We start from the raw sequence: 19,383 nt of genomic DNA on the forward strand, positions 1-19,383 counted from the left end.
GGAACAGCAAGGAGGAAACTCCAGTGCCTTTTATGATTAGTCTTGGATGTCACCCAGTGTCGCCCCCACAACCTTCTGTTCCTTAGAAACAAGTCTCTGGACTCCGCCTACACTCAAGGGGAAGGGAAATAACCTCTGCCTTTTGGAGACAGGAGTGCCAGAGAATTTGTGGACCTATTTTAAAACCACCTCCAACTGTTTCGTTCAATGATTTCTAGCATCTAAATATGCTTGGCTCATATAGTCAGTGCTTTAATGGAAGTGGTTCCTGTTTATAGGTCTTCAACCTTATACAATTGGGGGCTTCCCAAAAGAAAAAGAACACAAAATTAGTTAGGAAAGTTAACGTTTATTTAGAATAAAAGAAGAAAGTACAACAAATTGTAAAAATTTTAAAGCTGAAAAAAATTACTAATATCATAAAATCCTCCCAAAATAGCATCTTTTAAAAATTAACCAACTGCTTGACTTTTTTTTGAAACACAGTCTTGCTCTGTAGCCCAGGCTGGAGTGCAGTGTCTCGATCTCGGCTCAGTGTAAACTCCGCCTCCCGGGTTCAAGTGATTCTCCTGCCTCAGCCTCCCGAGTAGCTGGGATTACAGGCACCTGCTATGATACTTTTGTCCTGTATGTTTTAGCTACAAACTCTTTAATTATCTTTTAACAATACTGGGTTATTATTTTATAGAGAGTGACTATGAGAAGGAGGATTTAGTCTTTCCTCCATCATGACTGATCAGAATTTTTAATATAATTTAATTTAATTTTAGAGACAGGGTCTCACTCTGTCGCCCAGGCTGGAATGCCATGGAGTGATCATATGCTAACTGCATTGTCAAACTCCTGGGCTCGGGTGATCCTCCTGCCTCAGCCTCTAGAGTAGCTGGGACCACAAGTATTAGCCACCACACTTGACTAATTCAATTTTTTTTTTTTGGTAGAGACGAGATCTTGTTATATTGCGCGTGCTGGTCCTGAACTCCTGGCCTCAAGTGATCCTCCCAAAGTGTTGGGATTGCAGGTGTGAGCCACTGTGCCTGACACGATTGATCAACAAAAATTTTTTTTAATTACTATTGTCAGTTTTGAAAAGTTTCTTTTGGCTTCACCACTTATTACTGGTCAGGTATTGTAAAATTTTAGGATTATTGTGTTAAATTTGAGAAAACATATATCACATTTCTTTCTTACATGACCTCCAAGATTTCAGGGCAATTCGAGTTTTCTTGCGCAGCAATTAATCTTAATGCTCTTTGAAGGATGACACTCATTAACCAGTCTTGTTGTCCCCATCCTCTGTGTAAAGATGGAGCATGTGCTTTATGTTATCTTTGTCGATGCCAATACATCATGTCAAGTCAACAAGAACTTTACTTCATTTTTCTGGGTGATTCTATCATTTACTCCTCTTTAATAATAGGATGATTGGATAACCCAATCGCTTATTCATTACTTTTACTCAAAATTCCGTCTTGTTCTTAATGGTGTGACCTGTGTTCTGTTTCAACAGAGAACTCACTGAGAGTTAAAGGTCAAGGTGCATCAAACATTATGAGAGGCGGCTGGGCACAGGGGCTCACACCTATAATCCCAGCACTTTGGGAAGCTGAGGCAGAGAGATCAGCTGAGGCCAGAAGTTGGAGACCAGCCTGGCCAACATGGTGAAACCCCATCTCTACTAAAAATACAAAAAGTAGCTGGATGTGGTGGCACACACTTATAACCCCAGCTATTTGAGAGGCCGAGGCTGAGAGTTGCTCAAACCCGGCAGAAGGAGGTTGCAGTGAGCTGAGATCATGCCACTGCACTCCAGCATGGGGGACAAAGTGAGACTTTGTCTCAAAAAAAAAAAAAAATTCATGAAAGGCCACCGGATTTGTTGGAAATGCACTAACCGTGACCATCCTGTGTGTTCTCACACACATGCTTGCTGTTTGTGGAACTGCAACACTGAAAGGTACATTTCAGTGTCTGCATATACTGTTTTACTGGAACACAGCTATGCTTATTCTACATGGATGCTTTTGTGTCACGCTGTCTGAGTTCAGTAATTGCATTAGAGGCTACGTGGCCTACAAAACCTAAAGGATTTGCTATTTGGCTCTTTACAAAAAATTTGCTGACCAGCTACCCTCCTATGGCAATAAGTAAAAGATATACTCACCCCTTCGGCCTCACTGAAGCAATGACCATTTTTCAGTCCTGAGTACATACCAACCTGTAGACTGCCTCAAGACTTACCTCCCTGCTATTCCTTCTGCCTGGAACATTCTTCTCTTTCCTAGCTAGTTTTCCTTCTGATCCCATTCATTCTTCAGACAATATCACCTAATAAGAAAAGACTTCTCTGAACGCCTATCTACAACAGGTCCTCCCTGTTCTTCTTTTTTTTTTTTTTTGAGACAGAATCTGTCACCCAGGTTGTAGTGCAGTGGTGTGATCTTGGCTCACTGCAACCTCTTCCTCCCAGGTTCCAGTGATTCTCCTGCCTCAGCCTCCCAAGTAGCTGGGATTACAGGCACTCGCTGCCATGCCCCGGATAATTTCTGTATTTTTATTTTTATTTTTTTTACTTATTTATTTATTTATTTTTTATTGATCATTCTTGGGTGTTTCTCGCAGAGGGGGATTTGGCAGGGTCATAGGACAATAGTGGAGGGAAGGTCAGCAGATAAACAAGTGAACAAAGGTCTCTGGTTTTCCTAGGCAGAGGACCCTGCGGCCTTCCGCAGTGTTTGTGTCCCTGGGTACTTGAGAGATGGGGTTTCACCATGTTGACCAGGCTGGTCTCAAACTCCTGACCTCAAGTGATTTGCTGGACTTGGCCTCCCAAAGTGCTGGGATTACATGTGTGAGCCACTGCGCCTGAACCTTCCTGTTACTCTTCACCATAGTTTCCTGCTCTTTTCCATGATGGTCCTGCCCATGGTTTCTAATGATTGATTGATCTTCTTGTTTAAAGTTGTTGTCCTCTTTACTCTGTAAACTCCCTGTCAATAGAAACTACATGTCTTATCACGATAGGTAAAAAACATGTACTCCGATGTCAGATGGCCTGGATTTGAATCCCGGCTCTGTTACTTATAAGTCATGGAAGCTCGAGTAAGTCATTTCCCCTCTCAGCTTCTCAGTTTTCTCATCTGAGAATGGGCGCAGTCATAGTAACGATTGCATTAAGTTCTGAAGGTTAAATGAGTTGATGCAGATAAACCACTAAGAACAATGCCTGGCTCATCATAAGCGTTAGAGAAGAGTTAGTTATTAATACTCAAAACTGTATCTTCAAGGTCCAGCACAAAAGAGCTGAATGAGTATCCCTTTAACAAGTGAAACTTTTTTTTTCTGAATGAAGCAGTAGTGGAATGAAGGTTTTATCTAGATGAAAAAATAAGTATCTCATATCTCTCTTGCTCTTTAATCATATGCTGCTGTACTGAAACACTATGGGCGTCTAATTTCATTTATCACATGAAAGGCAATGATTCACCTTGACTTACAAAACAAAGTCGAATCAGTAATGCAAGAGTTTGAATTATTTTTTAAAATTAATCCCCCCTCCCCCCAAGACTCCCCCAGGATCTGTATTAGTATGCCATGGCCAGAGTAAAACCTATAAATATTATGAGGCCTACATTACTCAGCTGTTGCCACAATAATGCAAAAAATCACTCCAAGACTCAGTGGCTTAAAATGGTAATTATTTATTCTCACATAAACATTTGCAAATTAGCTGGGGTTTAGATGACCTGGGGTGGTCCGGGCTGGGCTTCAAGTTATGGGCTGAGTCCAAGTTTGCTCCAGGTGTCTTCCATCTTCCTTGGACGCAGGCATGTGTATGCATCTCAAGGCAATGTTGGAAGTGCAGGAGAGCCAGGCCCACTGTGCAAATCCACAGTGACCTTGATGGCATCATGCTTGCTAACATCTTACTGGCCAATAGTCACATGGCCAAGTCCAACATCCCTAAGTCAGGGAAGGGTATTCCTCCAAAGTGTGGAGGAGTAAAAATTTTCTGAACACAAATCCGAACTATCCCAAGACCTGTACCCAAATAAAAATGAAAACAAAACTCAACTAAAACTTAAAACTGTGTCTTCCAAGGGACAAAAAAATCTGTATGTTGAAACTTAAATTAACTTTCCTGAATTTTCTTGTTGCATCATTTGGCCAGTAAGGCAGGAGCACGGTGTTCTCTCTGCTTTTCTGGTCCTTGAAGCATGTGCTTCGTCTGCATAATGGACCAATCAGAGCTGTTTATGTTTCTGTCCTAGCACCGCCCCCATGCAGCAGATATTTGATAAAGTTGGTGGAAGGCAATTGTTGAATTCTATAAATATATGGCAATTGCATCAATGCATGCTATATTTGTTTTACAGAAATTTAAGGTCGCTGTAGGTATTGTGCGTTTCTACATCAAAGCTTCAAAAATAGTTCCGGGGTGTGGAGGTGCACATAGCTTCTACTAGCAATACACACACTCTGGAGCACTCCCGGGAAGTCGTGGCCTCTGGGTTTTCTGTTTGTTTTTCTGTCTCCTTTGCAATGTAAATGAAATCACTTTCTCAGCCTGATCATTGCTCGAGGGAAATGCATGCCTGGAAAATAATCAACAGAGAGGAGAATGTAGACAAGTAAGTAAACAGTTTAATGAATATAAAATAAAACGTGAATTAAAGCTGGCTTTCAGAACCTACCATTATCCTTTCATCCACTGTTTATTCAATAATTACACAGTCAATTACAACTTGCATAAAGGATTTTATATACCTATTAGTCTATAAATATCTACAGTATATGCGTATTTATAGATAAAGAGGGAGGAGAGGATCGTGACTGAGGAAAAGCGTTCTGACAGAAATAACTGCAAATATTGCAAGGTTGAGCTTCTACCAATGCTAGTTTTTCCTGACCCAGGAGAACTCACATAGTGTTATGAATTTTAATATCACAGCAATTTTTTATCGAGAACCTAACAGGAGCCGCACATTGGATTAACCGAGAAATCTCTCTGTATCTATACTCATATTATTTCTAACCCATGTGACACAGCCACCAGATATCCCATTTTACAGAGGAGAACACTGAGACTCAGGAAGCAGTTCGAGCCTGTGTTTGAACTCTATTATGTTTCACGAGAGAATAGGCCTGTGATGAAGTTTGGCTACCCACCTGTGTACAGAGAGGGCCGATGGAAGACAAACAATGCAGGCATATTGATATCCATGTGGCTGTCGCATTTTTTGTGTGCCAGGATTAATGTAATAGAACACTCAGCATGGAAAGCCACCCCGGGGCTGCTCCTGTATATATTTTGTTACATATTCCCTTCTGTTTCCCTTCAGTCATTTAACATAGAGCTTCTTTCACTGGAGGACGAGAATAGGCGTGGTGAGTATGTCTCCTGGATTAGCAGGTGCCTCTGGTTTGAAAATGTTCATTCTCAGAACCATCGGTGAAACCCAGAGATGAAATCTTACAAGCTAATGATAAAGCTTCAAGTAGCCACCACCATGGGAAGGACTTAATTATGTGATGTTTAAAGCAGTGTCTGTAGATTACACAGATATGGTGTCTCCTTTCTGTCTGGCACATGCCTTACAAGGCACCTTTATTGAATCATGACTGTTAGCTTTCCTTGGCTGTGTATTAGGGCCCTGGAAGCTTCTATTCAGGTTTAGCTATTATCCACGCAAAGATCGTTATTGCTCTCTTGTTTGTATTTTAGCCTGGAGATTTGTCAAGGAAAGAAAAAACAATTAGGTAACTGTGTAATGACAAAAGAGCAATTTGGTTTGAAAAGTCTCAGAAAACAGCTATTTTTTTTTTTTAACTTCTAGGGCATTTCTGCTTTTTTGAAAACAAAATATGTTTAGGAGAATCTTTGTTTTTACAGATACAAAATAAAGCAAGAGGGTTTCTGCCTTTCTAGTTAAAGAGCAATCTTTAAAAGTCATCCAAGAAAAGTTGGCTCTGTTTTCTGAATTGCTATTTGGGAGAACAAAAGAAGCAAGGGAAAGTTTGACTTGACTTCCTCTACAATTTGTTTATATCATCGGAGCAGAAAGAATCTCAGGGCTCAGCTCTCCACTTCCTGAATGAGGAGAGAGAGAGAGAAAAAAAAATGCCCGTGTGTCAAATTCATTGAGATGTGCAAAGTGATCAGCAAAAATCCTGATGGACTGGAGCCCAAATGGCAAAGGAAGGATATTCTTCAATTCAGCTGCTATCTGGCAAGAGAGCTGCAAAGTCCTGATGGCGAGTGTCACCAAATACCTCCTCCTCTCCTCCCCAGCCACAGAAAGGACAGGCAAGGAGGGTGCAGCCTCTCCTGGCCTGTTGCTATGGAGTCGGGCTAATCCAAGACAATGTTTCAGTCGGTCCAATCCAAAGACAGCAGTGGTAGCAATGGAATAGCATTGAAATTATAAATATTTACTTGAAAATAATGCTCAAGCCAGACTTAACTGAAATGATAAGGTCCTGTTTACTTCTCTTGGTAGTAGCCAGCTGAAACAACCAAACCAGTTAAGCAACATTTTTTTTTTTTTTTTTTTGGTCAGGTATGTACTGAATCACTGGCAGCAAACTTGTGGGATTTTAGGAGAGAGCTTTTCTCTCTCTCTCTCTCTCTCTCTCAATTCTGGGCAGAATGCTTATTTTTGTTTCGTTTTGTTTGTTTTAAGGAAAACAACAACAGAACTTGAGGCTGGCTGAGTTTATTAGATTACTGATTATCACTGTTAGTTTCCCGCTGCTTGTATTTGTTGGGGGTGGTAAGGGAGATGAGGACAAGAATTCAGATGAAAAACACCCAGGCTTTTCTCTTCATGAAATCCCCCCTGTGAGGTTTTCCAGCTTGCCTTCCCATAACTTGATTCTGATGAGGTCTGCCATAGCTAACCTATTAAAGAGAACATTGAAATTGGTGGGTGAAAAGGGTTAAAAATACAGCTTAGCAGTGAATATATTCGGGTTTAGCACCCTTACTGGAGGCTGTGATTTCACTGGCCTTGGAATACCAGAGGGAATTGCAAAACATGTAGATAGAATGAAGAGATAGAGTGCAGATAGAGTGGGGACAGAACAGAGTGGTAAAGAGAACCAGGCTAAGGGTGGCTACTTCCCTCTGAAGGGTGGGTCATTCTTGCTAAAGTGGGTTTCTTGGTGAATTACAGTGGCAGCTCAGAGCTGGGTAAGAGGAGAAAATGCCATCCAATAAGGCTGGAGGCAGTTTGAAAGATGAATAATATAACATGCAGTGATTTCAAACTTCACGCTTTCTTATTGAAAGTTTTTCTTCCAGTTTGGAAGGCAAGTTTCAATCGATTCTCTTGTCTAATCCCTGCTTCCTGCCAGGCTGAGCTGTTGCTGTTTTCAAGAAGAAACCTGGGCCTTGATTTGAATGCTTCAAACACTCAGTGCTCAATTAGCCCTCTTTTGAATCCTCTCTGACGGTTGGTTAAATATGGGTCGAAAGTGCTTTTTTAAAGTGGAACTGATCTTGGGTTGAGGTAACTTAATCTTCCGGGTGTTAAGACGCTGAAAAATAATGTTTTAACGGAACAATTACTAGAAGACATGGAAATTGCATTAGGCTCGTCTGTCCAGTTCTATTTTATAGACATGAACATTTCAAAGTACAAAAGGCTATTCTATAAAAAGGACACTTGGCTATTCTTTATAAAGGTTCCCCTTGTACTTTTATAGAATGTTTACAAGGTTAATAAGTATGCTTTTTTTTTTATCACTGTATATTTTAAATGGCCCAACGACTGCTCCCACGTTGATTTGAGAATCATTGAAACTGCCTGAATGGAGCAGGGGTATCCTTTGTTTCCCATTGATTTGGAAACAAAAGACTCAGGGGGGAAAGAAAAGTTTAGTTTGCTTCTGAATGCCATATGCAGATGAACGTTCTGCTGATAAAATACACCAAGGATCTGAAAACTTTTTCAAGTCTTAGAACAGGAAGGTTACTCTTGCAGTCACACTGCATGTTTGAACCTGCCTTCCATTTTTCATTTCTCCCATTGTGCCCTGGGCTACCATGGGATTACTTATGTCACACACCCAAGTCTTCGGAAAAAAATAAACAGCAGTCAATAGAAGAGAACCACCATCAAACGAGGCAAAAGTTGTCTGCTGTTTCTTACTTAGGAAATACCCCATGGACATCATCAGTAAATAAGGTCCCCCACTTTCCCCCTCATCATTTTTCCCAATTTCTCTATATCCAAGATTCCCATCCTTGGCGCTAATATTTACGACTAGAACATTCTTTATTGTTGGTGGCTGTCCCGGGCAGTGTAGGGTGCTCACCAGTATCTGGTGACAGTAGCTGTTCCCTCTACAGTCATGAAAATAAAAAATGTGAAAATTGAGAGCTGGGCACAGTGGGTTCACCTGTAGCCCCAGCTACTCAGATGGCTGAGGCAGGAGGTTCCTTTAAGCCCAGGAGTTCTAGTCAAGCCTGGGTAATGTAGGAAGACATTGCCTCTAAAATACATATATACACATATATATTTTATATACAATATATTATATATTTTATATACAATATATTATATATTTTATATACAATATATTATATATTTTATATACAATATATTATATATTTTATATACAATATATTATATATTTTATATACAATATATTATATATTTTATATACAATATATTATATATTTTATATACAATATATTATATATTTTATATACAATATATTATATATTTTATATACAATATATTATATATTTTATATACAATATATTATATATTTTATATACAATATACTACATATGATATATTATATATAATTTATTATTTATATATAATATATATTATAGAATATATATTATGTAATATATATAATCATAATATATAATATATATAATAATATATTATATATATTATATATCATATATAACGCATATAATATATATTATATAATGCATATAATATATATTATATAAAACATAATATATATAATACATACAACATATAATATATTGTATATATAATACATACAATATATAATGTATTATATATAATATATTTTATATAATATATTATATATTATATATTTTATATAATATATTATATATAATATATTTTATATATAATATATATTTTATATATAAAACTAAAATAAATGTTATATATAATGTATAAATTTATATACAAATATAATTATACATAAATATAAATATCTAGAATATAGCATATATGGTATAGATCATATATATCATACTATATTATAATATATATTATAATATATAGTATTATAGTATGATATATACTATATTTTATATTATATACTATATACTATATGATATGCATCATATATTATATGATATATAGTACATACTATATATGTATCATATATTATATGATATATAATATATATAATATATAACATGTAGGATATACACTATATAATTTTATATATAATATAGTATACATATTATATATAAGTATGCAGCCTAAGCAATATGGCAAAACTCCGTCTCTACAAAAAAATTAGCTGGGGGTGGTGGTATGTGCCTGTGGTCTCAGTTACTCAGGAGTCTGAGGCGGGAGGATCAGCTGAACCTGGGGAGGTCGAGGCTGCAGTGAGCCACGACTGCACTTCAGCCTGGGCAACTGAGTGAGAACTTGTCTCAAAAAAAAAAAAAAAAAAAAAAAGTAAAGTGTCAACGTTGCCAATGTTTCCAAGAAGGGGAGGTGGGGGGTTGGCTTCTGGTTGGGAAATACTACTTGAGAACCATCTGCCCACAGACTCCTGCTTGAGAAAAGAAGAGGTTAGTTAAATGCTCAGCCAGTTATAATGAAAACAACTGGTTACAAAATCGTACTTTTAGTCAGAATTCATAGAGTAGAACTTAAAATAGACAAAAGGAAAGGGAAATAATGCATCAAGGGACCCAGAGATCACAGAATAGCCAGCCCTTCATTTTCAGGTGAGGGCCTCTGTGGGAAGGTGCGTTCCAAGCCACACAGTTGGAAGTTGAGCGAACTGAACCAAGGCTGGGCTTTTGTGTTTGCTGTTTAAACAGTGTGTGGTTTTACTCACCTACCATAGTGCTCCTCCTACTGGTGGGCACCTTAGAGTAGGCTGAAAACAACGTGTCTCACTGTCCTTTTTTGTTTGTCTCTGAGTATTTTTCCTTATGATCTTGAAGTAACATTTACTTAATTTGCAATGAATGAAAACAGGCATGTACAGCAATCGTTTAAAAAGTATATTTTATGAGGTTTTGTAAGGATAATAGATTAAAAATTATTGTAGTGACTGTAAATAAATATGGCTATAAAAAGTTAAATTCTTTTTGGCATATAAGATACATCTTTGCTCCTTTAGTAGGTGTAGTTTACATCAACTATTTTGTTATATATCTAAAAAAGAGAAGCCATGCCCAGAACCAAGTATTCCAAGTCCTATAATCATAAAGGTAATACTAGTAATGAGTGTTTCATGTTTACTTTTTAAAAAATAAGTTTTGAATTATGAGCTGTCCTGAGCAATAGCACAGGTGGACAGAATAGCATCACAAACAGTCCTGAGCTCAGCACTCTGCTTGACTGGTTTTGAGCTCTCCTGTTTCAGGGTCTTTTCAGGTCCTTCTGGCCAGGAACCGTCTTTCCTTTGCAGGGCTCACACCTTCCTTCCTTCATGCAAGCCTCTGCTGAGATGTTATCTCTTCGGACAGGTCTCCTGACTGCTCTATTTGTAGTGAATGCAACTCCTAAATGTATTCTGTATCATAAACAAAAAGCACCCTCCATCTCCCCTGGTCACTCTTCATAGCACTTATTATATATTTGTTTGACTTATTTATTGTCTAGCTTATCCAACTAGAATCCAGGCTGTGACTCGCTGAGGGCTTTGTTTTGTCTACCAATACCCAGAAGGATGCCTGTTATACTGCAGGCACTGAGTAAATATCTATTGAATAAAAGTATTATTGCCTGGGCAAACTTTGTAGGCAAGAGCAGGCTAGTAACAGTTTGGTGTAGGTTGATGAATTCTTACACTCTGGTAAATGACCTTTGTCTTTTTAAGTATAATAATATTATGTTTAATGTTTAAATGGCTTAACACGACAAATTATATTTCCAAGAGTTAATCATTTATCCATCTTAAATAACAGGTCTTGTTTTCAGTAGAGAAAAGTTTAAGAAGAAATATAAAAAATGGCCTTTCAGCCTACTGATCAGAGAAGCCCTAGTGACACTTAAACAAGCAAACAAACAAATAAAAACACGAGTTTAGGCTGCGGCTGCTCATGCCTGTAATCCCAGCACTTTGGGAGGCTGAGGCAGGCAGATCACCAGCCTGGCCAACATGGTGAAACTCCGTCTCTACTAAAAATACAAAAATTTGCCAGACGTGGTGGCACATGCCTGTAATCCCAGCTATTCCGGAGGCTGAGGCAGGAGAATTGATTGAACCTGGGAGGCGGAGGTTGCAGTGAGCCAAGACTGGGTCACCGCACTCCAGCCTGGGTGATTGAGCGAGACTCTGTCTCAAAAAAAAAAAAAAAGTTTAGAGTTAGAAACTTAAAATTTTATGGAAAGGTACAGAATAAAAAGTGGCAGATGTTCCCCTGTGTACTTTCTTGTTCCTTTCATAAAAATAAAACTCCTGTAACTAATTTCTCATGGATTGTTCCAGAAAAAATTTTCTATGCCTATAGGCATAACTTTATCAACAAAATACACATTCTCTTAAATTGCTTTAAAGATACACACACATGCACGTGCACTTCCCAGAAGTTTCTGTAACAACCCTTGCACAATTTATACTTAGATATTTATTTGCACAACCATATTGTGAATATCACCTCCACCTGTCTGCCTGTCCCCTGTTCCCTCCCTAGTGCCTGGCACGCAGCAGGTAATGACCTATTCATTGAGTGAATAACTAAACTAGTACATCCTCGTTTAACAGAAGGCACTATGCTTTTATTAATGCACCCTGACAAACAGAATTCTTATACCACTAGTTAAGTTCTTCAAGATTCATACTCAATGAATATTGATGGTTTTTTTAAAAATTGATTTTGTTCTAGGTGCTTTCACATGAATGGGATCCTCAGGCTAATCTCCTGAAGTGGTTATTTTAATTCCTGTTCTTCAGATGAGAAAATGGAGACTCACAGAGTTAAAGCCAAATTATATAATAAGAGCTTAATTCTAGGAAAAGGTTCTAGGCCTTTGTGCCCTACTTATATTTCTAAGTCTCTTCCTTTCTGCTAGTTTCAAAAGTAAGAATGCTATGAATGTTTAAGCTTAGCTCTGAATACCAAATATTTCTGTACAGTCTGTCATGCTACAAAGGTTCATTTCAAATCTAATTAGCCCAGCAGATAAAACAAGGAGCTGGAGACTCTAAATAAACCACTAACAAACAAAAAACACCTCTAACACAAAAGAAATCTCTTGATGGTGTAAAAACTAAGCAATGTGGCTTCTAAGAACGTGGCTTCTGAACAGCTCAGAATCAAAACACAGGAAGTAAGCTGTTAATGGCACAATGAAATGAATAAAAACTATTTTGGGGGTGAACCAGAATTTGCTCTGCTATTTACTGGTTCGTGTTCAAAGTGGGGAGAGGGGCCTTGGGGTCAAGAGTTTCCCCAGTGGCCCTATTTCCAAGAAGAAATAGCCAATACACAACTCTGTAAAAAAATTAAAAAACATGGAATTGCACACTTAAAATGGATGAATATTATGATATGTAAATCATGTCTCAATCAAGCTGTTAGAAAGAAAGAAAGAAGAAAGAAAAAGCAAGCAAGCAAGCGAGCCAAATTTAATGCGGTTTTACTTTGCCAGCTGTCAGCTGGTACAGATTTTGGTCGTGTGTGGTGTGTGTGTGTGTGTGTGTGTGTGTGTGTTTAAAAAATGTGGTCTGTGATCCAGAGCATACCAGGATGTGGGAGACTCACAGGTTACTGTTTAATATTATATAGAAAACGTGTGCAGAGCCAAGGAGGGGAAAACAGTTCTGTAATTAAAAGACAGGACTAGGGCTTCCTGAGATGTAAAAATAGATGAAAAAGGTGAATCTTTTGTTCTGTGGGTGTTGCCACAACGTCACCTACTAGGGTGAAACTGCAGTGTGTACCACTCGCCTCCCACTTATAGCTGGTCCGTTGATTCCGTTGACTCGGAATAGCAGCCTTGTTCCATCTGCTGGAGTCAGAGGTTTATGGAGGCAGAAAGTGTGTGGAATTATTTCCAAAAAAAATAATCACAGGAACGGGGAGAGGGAGGGAGGAAGAGAGAGAGAAAAAGAGAGAGAGAGAGAGAGAGACAGAGAGAAAGGAGAAATGAATTTTCAGAATAGAATGAGGTTGGCTGTGTTTGCATTAAAACATTTAAATGAACACTGCAAAAGCTATAAACTGATGCTTCCTTAAGAAGAGCTGTTGGGATTGGACCAGAAAAAAGAACCTCAAAAGGGAAGGGATGGGCAGGAGGGAACTTGCTACTGAGAGGAGTAGGGTTTGCAGGTTTGCAGTTATACCTGTTGCTGTGGTTTGATGCCCCTGTGACTGCGAGGCAAGAAAAAGTAGGTGGAACGTGAGGCTCTCTGCCAGCCAAGGGGCCAGGGGAGACCCCACACACACTCTGCATCAGTGCCTCACCACAGGAAGGAGGATAAGGACAAACAAGCACCCCCTCCATGCCAAACAACAAAACAAAACCTTCTTATTCAATGTAAAAGGAAAAAAAACCCAAAAAAACAGGTAAGGTATTTCCCACTCTCCCACTTTTTTTTTTTTTTAAGAGCGAGAGTTTCACTCTTGCCCAGGTTAGAGTGCATTGGTGCAATCCTAGCTCATTGCAGCCTCAACTTCCTGGGCTCAACCAATTCTCCCACTTTAGCCTCCCAAGTAACTGGAACTACAGGAATGGACCAGGGTGGCCGGCTAATTTTTAAAATTTTTTTGTAGAGACAGTTTCATTAAGTTGCCCAGGCTGGTCTCACACTCCTGGCCTCAAAGGCTCCTCCCACAGCGCTGGGATTACTGGCATGAGCCACAGTGCCCAGCCAACTGAGGTAATTTTTTTTTTTTTTTTGAGACAGGGTCTCGCTCTGTCACCTAGGCTGGAGTGCAGTGGTGCAATCTCAGTTCATTGCAATCTCTGCCTCCTCAGTTCAAGCGATTCTCCTGTCTCAGCCTCCCAAGTAACTGGGATTACAGGCACACACCACCATGCCCGGCTAATTTTTGTATTTTTATAAGAGATGGGGTTTCACCATGTTGACCAGGATGGTCTCGATCTCCTCACCTCGTGATCCACCCGCCTCAGCCTCCCAAAGTGCTGGGATCACAGGCGTGAGCCACCACACCCGGCCTCAACTGAGGTAATTTTTTGAGAAATTCTGGGCAAATGCCCTCACTTACCACTGATCATAGGTTTAAAAACGCCAATAAAACTTGTTTATTGCTTAAGACTAGGGCAGTAGTTACCCTGCTGGGGAAGTGATAGAAGGGGGTGCAGAGGTGTCCCTTTGTGAAAACCCATCAAGCTGGATATTCCTGATTTTTCCACTACTGTGTATCTAGGAAATATTTGACTTTTTTTCTTTTACAATTTTTACAAATATTGTTTATTTTAATGAAGCTGGTGTAGACAATGTCCATTTAAAACCCGATATCCCAGGCCAAAAAGTACAAATAAAAAAGAGCAGTATTCTGTTGTATTCATTTCTGCATGTATACCTTTATTGATAATGAAAATCAGAACTTTTCTGGGATCTTCTGACAAGATTAAGAAAAAAAAAATCTTCAAATGTCTTTTCTTCAGGGAAGCCATCTTTGGAGTTAGTCGTTACTCTCAACCTTATCTGTCACCTTGACTTAACCTGATGCTCCTTTTCTTTTGGTCCAGACCCTCAAATCTTAAAAATAGCTTCAAGTTGTTAAGGAGAGGTCATTTTTCCACAGCTCAGTTCTCTAAAAAACTTCCATCTCCCACCAAAAGTCATAGTCCAGGAGTGAAACAATCACATGGTTGAAAATCAGGGCCAACTGGAAAGTCATTATGAATACTTGCATTGGTCAATCTTATCATCTGAAAATGTACAGTCCTGAAAAAGGTGGCCTCTCTGTGCACACATAATTTTTATAAAAGGAGAGGGCAATATGAAGAGGCCTGAGCCTTGATCACCAGAAATCAGCATAATGAAAACAAACAATAATGAATAATGAACACTAGAATTCAAATTACCAGATGTTTTAAAGAGATGGAGTGCCTGTTTTCAATTCCGTTTTAAATACCATGCTACAAAAGAACTATTTAAAAAAATAAAAAAGGATTGAGGGAAAAGGAAAAAAAAAAAGAATGTCTAAACTGTTGAATGACCTCCGATTTGTTCCTGATAAACCTCAATCACATCTTCTTCCTCCATTCCCAGTTCTTCTGGAGTATGATTATCAGCAATTCTCTGACCTTCAAAGAGAAACCTGAGGGAATTCACTGGAACGCCCTGTCTCTGACAGTACGATTTCTTGAGTTTCTTGAGAGGTGTTGTCATTTTCACTTTGAAATGAATCTCACTGCTATCCTGTCCAATAACCCTGAGTTTAATATCTTCATCTTTTATCTTATCCCCCAAATGCTCAGTTGAAGGTTTTGCCTCCAGGTCAGACATGGTGATGGGGCATTCACCTGCAGGTCTCCGAACAGCAGCAGTCTCGGGGTAGGCAGAACCTCGCTCTGGCGTTTACAATGCCATCTCCCTTCGTCACAGCACGACACCATGGCGGCAGTCACTTCCGCTATGCCTCACGACACTTCTGCTACGCCTTGCATCACTTACGGTGCACCTTGCATCACTTCCGCTAGGCGCAGAGAGGAGGGAGGGAGAAGAGCTAACTTTTTTTTTTTTAAGTACCGATATGTATTCCCTGTTCCTGCTTCCTCATCAATTTCAAACTTAACATGACCCAAAGAGAACTTGGGTTCTCTGTTCTCAGGGGCTGCCAGCCATCTTTTCCCAGCCTCACTCCAACAACTTCAGCACATCCTTGATTCTTCTTTCTCTAATCTCCTCACCCAGTCTGGATAGCCTGTTGTCTCTCCCTCTAGAACAGGTCTCAAATCTCCTGGCTTTACCCCATCTTCATCGAGCTGGCCGAGTCCATGTAGTATTTTGGCTGGACAACTGCCACACACTCCCAGTTGGTTTACCCCCTGCTTCACTTGTCTCCCTCTCCAGCGAATCCATTCTCCATTTCCATTTGATTTTATTTTATTATTTTATTCTATTTCATTATTATTTTTTGAGACAGAATCTCGCTCTGACACCCAGGCTGGAGTGCAGTGGCACGATCTCGGCTCACCACAACCTCCGCCTCCCGGGTTCAAGCAATTCTCCTGCCTCAGCCTCCTGAGTAGCTGGGATTATAGGCATGTGCCATGATGCCAGGCTTTTTGTATTTTTTAGTAGAGACGAGTTTTCACCATGTTGGCCAGGCTGGTCTCAAACTCTTGACCTCAAGTGATCCGCCCGCCTCAGCCTCCCAAAGTGCTGGGATTACAGGCATGAGCCACCGCTCCCGGCCCCCATTTCCATTTTATAAGAATGGAAATCAGATAACGACATTCTCCTTCTGTAAAACCTCCCCATGGCTTCCCTTCACATTGAAAGAACCACCCAGGCTAGGGAGAAGCCTTCTGGTGTCACACAAGAAAAGCCATGGCCACCTCCCCTCATCCCTTCCCTCCTCCCTCTTGGTCATTGTGTTCTGGTCTCCTTCTGTCCCTCCAACATGCGTAGCTCATTCCTTCCTCGGCGACTTTGCCTTGCTGTCCTCTGTCCCAGGTCTCGGCCCTAATGTCTCCTCGCCACAAAGGCTGTCCCTGGTCACCTGTGTGGTTGCCACTCACCGTCTCATCACCTTCGAAACCCCTGTCACTGCTGGACATGTGATCTTACCTCTTTGTTTTGTTGTTTATTGGATGTTTCCCTCATTAGGATATAAGTGCCCAGAGGGGCAAGAACTGTCTACCTTACACTACCCTACACTACTTCGGGTGTATAAAAACAATTTGAATGGTCACATGCTTAAAACCCGATTCCTGAACTTCCCATTCCCACCGTCAGCGCCTCCCTCCTGTCCTGATCCTCCCCTGGTCTTCCCCTCTCAGCGCACGGCAACTCTATTCCTTCAGCGGCTCAGACCCAGATATTGGAGGAGTCCGGGGTGCCCCTTTTCCCCTCACATTCCACACTCATCCTGTCCGCACCTTCAGTTGCCTTTACCTTGAGAGAGCCTGAGACCACCTCTGTGTCCTGCTTCCGCCCTGGTCTGGGCAGCCACAGGGGTTCCTGGAGCTTCCTGCAGTCGCTGCACTTACTGTCTCTACATCCCCCTGTGCCCTCCTTCAATCTAGTCTCTGGAGTGAGGTTATTTGAAAATCATTTCCAATGCCACATCTCTTTCCAGAGTTCTCCAAAGACGGCCAGCTCAGAGTGAAATCTAAAGCCATTTAGTCACATCAGCCCAAATGCCCCTCTCTGACCGGCTCGCCCACCTACCATCCTTTTCCTTGCTTATTCCACTCTGGGGACACTATCTAAGGGCACGCCTCTGAGGCCCTGTGAGTCTGCTGCTCTCTTTCTGGAAGGACCTCTCCCAGATGCTACTCAGTGCTCCCTTCCTTGTGGAGGTCTCTGCTCAGTGAGGTCCTCTCCAGCGTCTCCCTTTAAAATTGTCCCCTCGGGACAGGAGCTGTGGCTCCTGCCTGCAATTCCAGGGCTTTGGGAGGCCAAGGTGGAAGGATCACTTGAGCCCAGGAGTTCAAGACCAGGCTGGGCAAAATGGTGAAACCCTGTCTCCACAAAAAAATACAACACTTAGCCAGGCATGATGGTGCAGACTTGTGGTCCCAGCTACTCCGGTGGCTGAGGTGGGAGGATTGTTTGAACCCAGGAGTTGGAGGCTGCAGTGAGTTTTGATAGTGTCACTGCATTCCGGCCTGGGTGACAGAGTAAGACCCTGTTCTTTTGTTTTGTTTTTAAATGCCCCCTTATACACATGGTCCTCCCCTATCTATCTCCCTATTTTTTCTCCAGAGCACTTCTGACTCCTCAGACGTGTGTCGTTTTTATTATTTGTTGATGCTCTTCTCCCACTACAATGTAAGTTCCACGTGGGAGTGGATTTCTGTCTTTTTGTCACTGTGGTATCCTCATAGTTCAAATTGGTGCCCAGCAGGTATTAAACACTCATAGATATTTGCTAATTGAATGAACTAGTGATGATGTTCACTGTTGAACAGCATACGGTACAAATCTAAGTCCTCATCCAGTGAGCGAATTAATGATAATTAAAAGAAATTTACCAAACTTCAAACTCACTCAATCAACAAAGATATATAGAGTTTCTATTGTAAGTCTGGAACTGATCTACCCTGATCTACAGTGTTGAATGAAATAGACGAGATCTCTGACCACCTGAAATTAGCAGTGTACTTGGGGAAAATCCACTGATCAAAGAATCATAGAAACGTTTCATCACAAACTTGGTACTGCTGGCAAGGAAAAGTCAAGAACTCTCGGAGTGTAGTTCCATTTGAGAACTAGGAGGGCTTCTGTGAGGAGGTGACATCTGAGCTGAGATGAGAAGGTTGAGATGGTGAAGGGAAGAGGTACAGGGGTGGAGAATGGGGAGAAAATTTCAGGCAGAAGAAACTTCAGAGGCAAAGTCCCCAGTCCCTGGGTAATGGTTAATCATTTACATCTTACTGCTTCCAATATTCTGGTTTCTGATGATTACTATGATTTAACTTCATTTTTTAGCTACCAGTAAAATATTGGTGATAATTTGCATTCTTTACCTCCATATTGGAGGGATGGGAAATGCCTCCAAACCCAGGATTCTAATTAAATTTGGGAGACCACAGAGTTTATGCAGCGTGTGGTTGGATTTTTACATCATCCTTGTTTGTTTTCTTCTCTTTCCAGTCCTTCGACACTGGCTAGTCATTAAAATTTAGAGCTCACCCTAGGTTAAGTGGACAATTTCCTGGAAAACAGCTGGTTGAGCTCCCCCCTGTGCATCGCTGAAATAAACATCCCCTTTGGAAAAAGGCTTCCTTTAATACCTTCCTGCTTAGCATCTTTTTGCAGTCTATATTCCTGTTTTGCATGACTTCTCAGAAAAAATCTAGAATGATAAGTAAAATAATAGGCAAGGTTTATTAAGCACGTCATTGCTTCACACTACCGTCCTGGGAGCTAGGCACTATTATTATCCTGTATTCACAGATGAGGACCCGAGGCTTGGGAAGCTAATGTGTTTCACACCAGTCAATAATGAGCAGAGGCAGGTTTAACACCCAGGACCATGTGACTCAACAACTT

General features: G+C 40.4%; 1 long non-coding RNA gene and 1 pseudogene across 2 annotated transcripts, besides 1 other annotated feature; both read right to left on the minus strand.

The window, feature by feature from the left end:
- Positions 1–3,685: 3,685 nt before the first annotated feature.
- Positions 3,686–6,273, minus strand: LOC124904935 (uncharacterized). Its single transcript, XR_007067665.1, has 2 exons — positions 5,170–6,273; positions 3,686–4,595 (listed from the first exon to the last, which is right to left on the minus strand). It is a non-coding gene; the product is annotated as an uncharacterized LOC124904935 (long non-coding RNA).
- Positions 6,274–14,606: 8,333 nt separating this feature from the next.
- SUMO1P1 (SUMO1 pseudogene 1) lies at positions 14,607–15,818 on the minus strand (annotated as a pseudogene). The gene has a single exon (NR_002189.3). The product of NR_002189.3 is annotated as an SUMO1 pseudogene 1 (transcript).
- Positions 15,007–16,206: an enhancer, noted in NCBI's record as "BRD4-independent group 4 enhancer chr20:52491437-52492636 (GRCh37/hg19 assembly coordinates)". NCBI's record gives its function as "activates an origin of replication core promoter dependent on BRD2, P300/CBP, MED14 and CDK7 cofactors, and independent of BRD4, by STARR-seq in HCT116 cells {active_cell/tissue: HCT116}" and the evidence as "EXISTENCE:reporter gene assay evidence [ECO:0000049][PMID:35650434]".

The sequence above is a fragment of the Homo sapiens genome, chromosome 20 (genome assembly GCF_000001405.40).
Source record: "Homo sapiens chromosome 20, GRCh38.p14 Primary Assembly".
NCBI classification, from domain to species: domain Eukaryota; kingdom Metazoa; phylum Chordata; class Mammalia; order Primates; family Hominidae; genus Homo; species Homo sapiens.